The 9105-nt window shown below is 41.7% G+C and overlaps 1 annotated feature.

The window, feature by feature from the left end:
• Positions 5438 to 5607: an enhancer, noted in NCBI's record as "experimental_26717 CRE fragment used in MPRA reporter constructs". NCBI's record gives its function as "activates a minimal promoter by MPRAs in K562 erythroleukemia cells, with activity observed for the non-introgressed 12:26052213 variant allele {active_cell/tissue: K562}" and the evidence as "EXISTENCE:reporter gene assay evidence [ECO:0000049][PMID:34662402]".

Below are 9105 nucleotides of genomic sequence, written 5' to 3'. Positions count from 1 at the left end.
ATGATGCTGTTGCAATGGAGGCCTTAGCAGATCCCCTGGGGAGCTCTAGATCTGGAATGGCCCATCCTGAATTGAGGCAAGGGTGCAGGGTGTTTGTACCCTCATCTCTAGGAGTCACTGGATGCTGGCTGCCCTAGGAGAGCAAGGCAGCTGCCTTTGACTGAGAGCAATTTCTGAGGAAGGAGTTAGTGGTGAGTCATCAGGAGGCAACTCTTCCAGCAGTGAAGGGAATAAGAACTTCAGCCCTAGTCTGGGCAACATAGCAAGGCCCCCATCTCTACAAAAAGAAAAATAGAAAAAATTAGCCGGGCATTATGGTGTGTGTCTGTGGTCCCAGCTACTCAGGAGGCTGAGGTGAGAGGATCCCTTGAGCCCGAGAGTTCGAGGCTGCAGTGATCTATGATTGCACCACTGTACTCCAGCCTGGGTGACAGAGTGAGATTCTGTCTATAAATAAAAAAATTAAATTAAAAAAGAACCCTAGCCATAAAGAGGGCATCTGGGCAATGCACCATATATCTACTGTAGACCCGCAAAGTCAGGATGAAATGAGAGGCATGGAAGAGAGTATTTTAAGAAAGGAGTCCCTACTTTGTTTCTCTGCAATGTTTCTCTGCCTTGGAAGGAATGAAAGGAACTGCTCACCTGTTGCCTCCCCTTCCACATCCCACTTCTTTTCATTCTATGGCTGGATTACTAAGGCTCTTGCAAAAATTTGCACGGGTAGCTCAGCTGGGTGGATTCAGATTGGTCAGTCCCTCAGTGATGATATGACTGATGAGCAATTGCTCTCTCTCTCTCCCTCCCTCAAAGAACATTTTTTTTTTTTTGCTCACTCTCTCAGATATTAATATGTCCCTTGGAATGGAAGCTGACTCTTGATATAAAAGCCATAGCTCAGAGAAGCTCTATATTATACCTGAAATGGTGAAATGAGAAAGCAATAAAAACATGCTTCTATAGGCCTCCTCTTACTCAACAGCATAGACTTATCGCATCATTCTCTCTCTGTCTGCCTGTCTCTCCCTCTTCCTCTCTCTCCTCCACCCCCTTGCCATGTTTGCATGTGTGTGTGTTTTGGGAGAAACATGAAGATGTGTTATATTTATAGCAACACTGATCATGTATTAAAAGTCTCCTACACACCAGACACTTTATGCATATTATTGCTAAACATCCTGATACCCTCCATGGTAGGTATTATTCACCCTGTTTTATAGATGAGGAAATTGTTGTTCAAAGAGTTTCAGTGAATTGCTCATGACCCACAGCCAGTAAATGATAGAACAAGAACATTTAAGCACTCTTTTCACATCCCAAATCCATATAGACTTTGTGAAAATATTTAAAAAGGGGTTTGAAGCTCCTTGAGTTTCATTTGGGGAGTTTTGGGGCAGATGTTAGCCCTGAAAGTCAGGAAAATGAATTTACGTGTGGATAAATAGGACTTTCCTCTGCCCTGCTCGCATTCTCCTGCAGTCCACCTTGTGTATCCTGTGTGGGATGGCAGGCACTCATTGTTTACACACCCACAGTAACACACATGGTCTTTATTTAATGAGAAAACTTTAATAACTGGTTTTTGCCTTGCTAGGAACAGCCTCTAATCTTCCTGGTAGAAAGTGGTAAATTTTCCTCTCACAGCTGGTCTGGGCTTCAATCAAAATACAATAGTTAACTTTTCATCTGTTTGAAGATCTGGAATAAGAACATGCGATGTACAATTGCATAATGTCATGGTCCAAACTGAAATACATTTGCCTTTAAATGTTCTTTATAGGATTTTTCCACCACACCTAAAGTGAAAGCTGGTGAACTTAAAGCTGGTAATCCAAAGATTTAAGACACTTTCATGCTGCTATTTTAATAGAGCCTTCTAAAGGGAATGCCATTACCTAAAGGATTGGTCCTCATTGTGAAAAGGTTTGGCTTTGATGCTTTTGCCTTAGAGAAGGACCCTAATCTTTGCCACCAGCTCCCAGGTTGGGAGCAAAAACAAAGCAGGGGCAAGGGCAGTAAGTCCTTATCTTGGAGGAAGAATGGATAAAAATGTGTACTCTCTTGCCAGGTGTGGTGGCTCACACCTGTAATCCCAGCACTTTGGGAGGCTGAGGCAGGCGGATCATGAGGTCAGGAGATGGAGACCATCCTGGCTAACACAGTGAAACCCTGTCTCTACTAAAAATACAAAAAAATTAGCTGGGTGTGGTGGCAGGCACCTGTAGTCCCAGCTACTCAGGAGGCTGAGGCAGGAGAATCGCTTGAACCTGGGAGGCGGAGCTTGCAGTGAGCCGAGATCGCACCACTGCACTCCAGCCTGGGTGACAAGGCAAAACTCCATCTCAAAAAAAAAAAAAAAAAGAAAAGAAAAGACTTGTGGAGAGAGGAACTGAGTTATGGGAAAAGACTGAAGAAGGGCCAGTTAACTGAAGGCTGAGAAATGTTAAGATCTGAATTGGAGGGAAAAGGGAGAAATAGAAATGTTTTTACTGTAGTCAGATTTTTTTTTGGTTTGTTTGTTTTGTTTTTTGTTTGTTTTTTTTTTACCTCAGTGGTACACAGATGGTTAAATATTGTCCTTGAGTAACTTAAATGACTAAACAGCCAGTGTAGCTTTCTGAACAGTGACCACAGGAAGATTTGGTTATGACATTGGTAAAATATTATAAGAAAACTCTTAGTGACAACATAATACATTCATGGATATAGCATAGCAGGACAAAAACATAGTAAGACACACTTACTGAGCAAAGGAAGCCACAGGCACTTCCCACTGTATCAAGAGGAACCCAAAAACGTACACATCACACAGAGCAATTTCATTCAGCATAAGAGCCATAGGCATTGGCAGACAACTTGGGATATGAAGACAAAGGGCTGTGAAACATTTATCTCACATAAAGTTGTTATTCTGGTAACATTCTTATGAAGAAAGGTTGATGTTGTATAATAAAACTCCAGGGTCACTGACTGTTGTACAGAGTTCAGCTGACAGTCTCCAAGCATGCTATAAACACGTGGTGTTTTTTGTTTTGTTTTGTTTTGTTTTTTTGCTTTTGTTTTTTGTTTTTGAGATGGAGTCTCTCTCTGTCACCCAGGTTGGAGGGCAGTGGCACAATCTTGACTCACTGCAACTTCCGCCTCCCACGTACAAGCAATTCTCCTGTCTCGGCCTCCTGAGTAGCTGGGACTACAAGTGTACCCCACCACACCTGGCTAATTTTTGTATTTTTAGTAGAGATACGGTTTCACCACGTTGGCCAGGCTGGTCTCGAACTCTGACCTCAAGTGTTCCACCTGCTTTGGCCTCCCAAAATGCTGGGATTACAGGCATGAGCCACTGCACCCTGCCTAATATGTAGTGGTTTTGAAAGGGAGAACCTCCAGAACAAAGAGGCTGACTGTCTTACTTAAGGACACACAACAGAATTAGTCCAGCCAGGCTACAGTCCTTAGTATCTCCTAAATGTAAGGTTTATTTTATTTATTTATTTTTAAGAGATAGGGTCTCTCATACCCAAAGAAACTGCAGGTAAAAAGACCAAAAAAAAAAAAAAAAAAGAGAGAGAGAGAGAAAGACAAGTTCTCACTCCGTTGCCCAGGCTGGAGTGTAGTGGCACCAGTAGCTGGGACTACAGGTGTGTGCCACCATACCTTGAAAAAAATTTTAAATTTTTCTGTAGAGATGGGGTCTCACTATGTTGCCCAGGCTGGTCTTGAACTCCTGTCCTCAAGCGATCTGCCTGCCTTGGCTTCCCAAAGTGCAGGGATTAGAGGCATGGGCCACTGCATCTGGCAAGCTTTTTATTATTCTTTCTGGTTCATTGTGCATGATTTTCCTCTGGGCACGAGAAGAAATGGTTTAACTCTTCCCGCCATTCTTCTCCTTCCTTTCAGGTTCAACTCAATTGTCACCTTTTTTCTCAATCACTACATCCCACCTCCCACCTTTGTCATCTTTGATAGCCCATAGTGCTTATTGCCTATACATTTTAGTAAATGAAAAAAATCATAGATTACCATGAACTTCATTATGATCTTTAAAAAGCATACCTTTTCTTAAACCAGGTGTGGTGGCTCACGCCTGTAATCCCAGCAGTTTGGGAAGCTGAGGCAGATGGATCACTTGAGGCCAGGAGTTCGAGACCAGCCTGGCCAACATGGCAAAATCGTATCTCCACTGAAAATACAAAAATTAGCTAGGCATGGTGGCAGGTGCCTGTATTCCCAGCTACTCAGGAGGCTGAGGCAGGAGAGTCGCTTGAACCTGTGAGGCAGAGGTTGTAGTGAGCCGAGATTGAGCCACTGCACTCAGCCTGGGCAACAGAGCGATACTTTGTCTCAAAAAACAAACAACAACAACAAAAAAGTCATTTTCTTAATAGAAGAAATAAGGATTTATTTGTACTCTAAAACTATTCTTATACTTTTTTTGTTTTTACCCAAACTTGTAACATAATGCCAAACTCATGACAACAGTCAGCAAATACTTGGTAATCAATGAGTGAACTAAGTTGTGTGACAATTAGGAATCACCAAATTATTAGTAACAATTACCTGATAAGAATGACTTTAAAAACATAGAGGTTATTTTATTTCACATTAAAAAAATAGTCTGAAAGCAGGAAGCTGGGGACTATGTAGTAATTATGCAACATCGTCCATGTCCCCAGGCTGCATCTAGGTTTTTGCTCCACTATTCTCAGAAGGCAGGGACCTACGTAAGGTTTCCTTTTGGTTGTAAAATTGCTGCTGAAGCTCCAGTCATTATACCTCAGCTAAAGACGTGAAGGGGGAAGAAAGGGTAAAGGGCAAGAAGAGCACAGATGAGTCAGCTCCCTTTAAGGAGCTTTCAGGAAAAGCTACCCACTTGACCACTGCATACTTCTCATTGGTCACCTTTTTTGTAGGGAGTCTGATCAATGTAATCTTTAGAGAGCATATTGTCAAACTAAAGAAGATCGGATTTGATTAGTGAGGAAGAAGAAATAAGAATATAGGATTGGCATTGCCACTCTCTGCCATAAGTAGTAGTTAATGTTGCCTTCTAATGGGGTTCTCTTGCTATACCCACAAGATATTCTCCCAATATAACGAGTCTCCCAATATAATGCTTCCAAATCTATGATTTGGAATTGAGACAAGGAAATATGAAAAGGGGTTATATCAGCCATCCTAGATAGGATTGATGAGTCAAGGATCTGGAGATGTCCAGGTAGGAGAAATCAGGCACTCTAGGACTAAGTGAGACTGTGAGCTGGAGTTGCAGTCCTCTGGAGATTAAGAAACTAGAGCTGTTGATGTTGTTAGAAGACAAGTATTGTGGTAGAGGCATTAAACAATGAGAGAAATTGGCAGCTATGATCTGAAGGTGAAATATGGAATTTAAAATTCCAGAGGCTTATCTGTTCCAGAGAGTGGCAAGATTTAGGGCTCTTGAAGTTCAGCAGAGCTGAAGGTCATTAGACTGGAAAGATCTATAAGCTTCCATAGCACAGAATTATATCTTGAATGTACTTTACGTATTTCCTAGCAGTGCCAAGCACAGATGGATTTTTTTTGTTGTTGTTGTACTAACACTATAACTACATTTTGGAAAATAAAGGGGGAGAATTACTCACATTCCCACCACCTACACAACTCATGTTCTCAATTGGTTGTGTTGCCTTCCACATGATGTACATAGCTGTAACCACAGTTTATATGTGAATATCTATCCTTTCAATTGAACATTGTAAGTATTTTTTCAAAAGCAATCACCCATACCTTTTATGATTAATCGATGGGTCTTTAAGTGTTTCAAATAACATTTTTGAAATTCTCTACATCACAGATCAAGATCATGTTCTTATCAACTCTTATTAATACAGAGCTCACCATCAAAAACAGGGGTTCAAGATTCCTAAGTGTGCCAGGCATGGTGGCTCATGCCTGTAATCCCAGAACTTCAGGAGGTTGAAGCAGGTGGATCACTTAAGGTCAGGAGTTCAAAACCAGCCTGGCCAACATGGCAAACCCTGTCTCTACTAATAATACAAAAATTAGCCAGGCATGGTGGTGCACACCTGTAATCCCAGCTATTCAGGAGGCTGAGGCAGGAGAATTGCATAAACAGGAGGCAGAAGTTGCAGTGAGTCGAGATGGTGCCACTGTACTCCATCCTGGGTGACAGAGTGAGTGAGTGAGACTGTGTCTTATAAAAAAAAAAGAAAGAAAGAAAGAAAAAGAAAAGAAAAGAAAGAGAAGAAAAAGATTCCTAAGTGTGTGTTTTGGTTTTTGCAAATTTGTTGCATCTTTAATTCTAATTTGAACAATGAGAATTTTTCTTTGTATGTTTTTGAATTCATTCTTGCTAGAGAAGACTGCAGAGGTTTAGCAATAGGATACAATGAATGATTGTTCCACTAAATCAGCCAGTCTTTTAGGAAACTTAAATCTTTCCAACCCAGAAAAAGACAAGAGATGTTCTTTGACCCCAGCTAGAGAAATGAGAACTGAACGAAATTTTAGAACTGTACTATCTTGTGGCTGGGGTAAGGATATACTGAGTATCTTCTTAGCACTCCTCTAAGGGGAAGCCCCTGGTCCTGGAGGAAGACAGATTCAGTGTCATCTTTGCACTTACCAGCTACAGACCTTGATTTGTACTCCAAACAACTTTATAATATTCCTAACTTCAAAGGATAGAGGAATGCAGTTAGTAAAAAAGATAAGAGCAACATATGCAACAACAAGATAAAAGAAGTCAGAAGACCATGCATCTCTAACAGTGAGACAAAAATGAGTGATGTCCCTATTTATTCCTGATAATTTGGTTGAAGTTTCACAGTGTTCTTCTTTAGTTTCACAAAAATGAGGATCGTCATCAGTAATCTATAGTATTCCAAAATTTTTATTTAAAATACTTATCAAAAGGGCTGGGTGCAGTGGCTCACACCTGTAATCCCACCACTTTGGGAGGCCCAGGTGGGTGGATCAGTTGAGGTCAGGAGATCGAGACCAGCCTGGCCAAACTGGTAAGACCCCGTCTCTACTAAAAATACAAAAGTTAGCTGGATGTGGTGGTGGGTACCTGTAATTCCAGTTACTTGGGAGGCTAAGGCAGGAAAATCCCTTGAACCCGGAGGCAGAGGTTGCAGTGAGCTGAGATCAGGCCACTGCACTCCAGCCTGGGTGATGGAGTGAGACTCTGTCTCAAAAACAAACAACTCCCCCCCAATAAAAACCCCACTTATCCAGAACCCAACAATTAATCTATATTGTAATTATCTATGGGTTCTTCTTGACCACTACACAGAAAAAATCAATCCATTGAAATCAAGGCATTTCAGTAGAGAGAGTTTAATTGAAATGAGGCCATCCCATACAGGAAAACTGGAGTTACCACACAAATCAGTCTCCCTGAAGGCTCAGAAGTTAGGGGTGTTTATGGGTGATTTTGTGAGCAGGGGGCTAGGGAATGGGTGCTACTGATTGGTAGGGGCTGATATCACAGGGGTGTGGAAAAATGGTCCTCATGCACTGAGTCTGCCTCTGGATGGGGCCACAGGATCGATTGAGTCATGAGTCATAAATCTGGGTGAAGGCAGTCTGAAAAACGTCTTGCAAAAAACCAATTTTAGGTTCTACAATAGTGATGTTATTTATAGGAACAATTGGGGAAGTCACAAATCTTGTGACCTCTGGCAACAGGACTCCTGAGCAGTAAGGGATTACACAAACTACATCTACATTTTAGCAGAGTTCAAGCCCCTTGGATAATTTTATCCTTGTGGCCTTTCATTAGTTTTACAAAAATGGTTTAGTTTTGGGAAGGGCTATCATAACCCTTGGTTTAAGGTTAAACTATAAAATAAATTCCTCTTAAAGTTAGCTTGGACCACACCCAGGAATGACCAAGAATAGTGTGAAGGTCAGAAGCAAGATGGAGTCCACTATGTCAAGTTTCTTTTACTGTACGATTTTGCAAAGGCAGGTTCGTTATAACGTGGAAAATGCTTACATTATAATGTTAATTTAAAATAAAATAATATGCCGGGCATGGTGGCTCATGCATGTAATTCCAGCACTTTGGGAGGCTGAGGTGGGTGGATCAACTGAGGTTGGGAGTTCGAGACCAGCCTGACCAACATGGAGAAACCTGTCTCTGCTAAAAATACAAAATTAGCCGGGCATGGTGGCACATGCCTGTAATCCCAGCTATTCAGGAGGCTGAGACAGGAGAATTGCTTGAACCTGGGAGGTGGACGTTGCAGTGGGCCGAGATACTGCCATTGCACTCCAGCCTGGGCAACAAGAGTGAGACTCTGTCCCAAAAAAAATAAAATAAGATAAAAGAATAGATGATCATATATAAGTTATGGATGCAGCTATATGCATCATGTGGAAGGAGATACATCAATTGAGAGCATGAGTTGTGTAGGTGGTGGGAATGTGAATAGTCCTCCCCCTCTATTTTCCAAAATGTAGTCATATTGTTTGTACGACAAAAAGAAAATCCATCTGTGCTTGGCACTGCTAGGAAATATGTAATGCACATTCAAGATATGATTCTGTGCTATGGGAGCTTACAGAGCTTTCCTACTCTAATGGCCTTCAGCTCTGCTACACTTAGAAAGCCAGGCCCTAAACCTTGTCACTGTCTGGAACAGCTAAGCCTCTGGAATCTTAAATTCCAGATTTCATCCTCTGACCACACCTGCCTATCTTTCCAGTTCTTTCATGTCTTTACCACAATACTTGCTTTTGAACACCATCAAGAGCTCCAGCTCCTTCACTTATCCCTAGAACACCTGATTTCTTCAGCATCCTTCCTTACACAATCTAAATTCAACTGCTATCTCACTAGCACCCTCAAATGTCTTGACACGGTTTCCTCCTGACTTACATGTACAGCAAACTCCCTACCATGGTTCAATTCACGCATCCTTATGGGTCACCTAAATTGCTATATAAACTCATACAAATATATGGATAGACTCTCTACAAAATTGTAAGCTTTCCGTTGCAGGCCAGGCTCAGTGCTACTCAAGAATCTTCCTACTCTTCCCTAGCTCTCTCCCTGTCATCTCCCACATTGGCTGGTTGACACACTTTCTACTTCTG

The sequence above is a fragment of the Homo sapiens genome, chromosome 12 (genome assembly GCF_000001405.40).
Source record: "Homo sapiens chromosome 12, GRCh38.p14 Primary Assembly".
In the NCBI taxonomy this organism is placed as follows: Eukaryota; Metazoa; Chordata; class Mammalia; order Primates; family Hominidae; genus Homo; species Homo sapiens.
The sequence above is the reverse complement of the archived record's forward strand: the minus strand, read 5'-3'. Positions and strand labels throughout refer to the sequence as shown.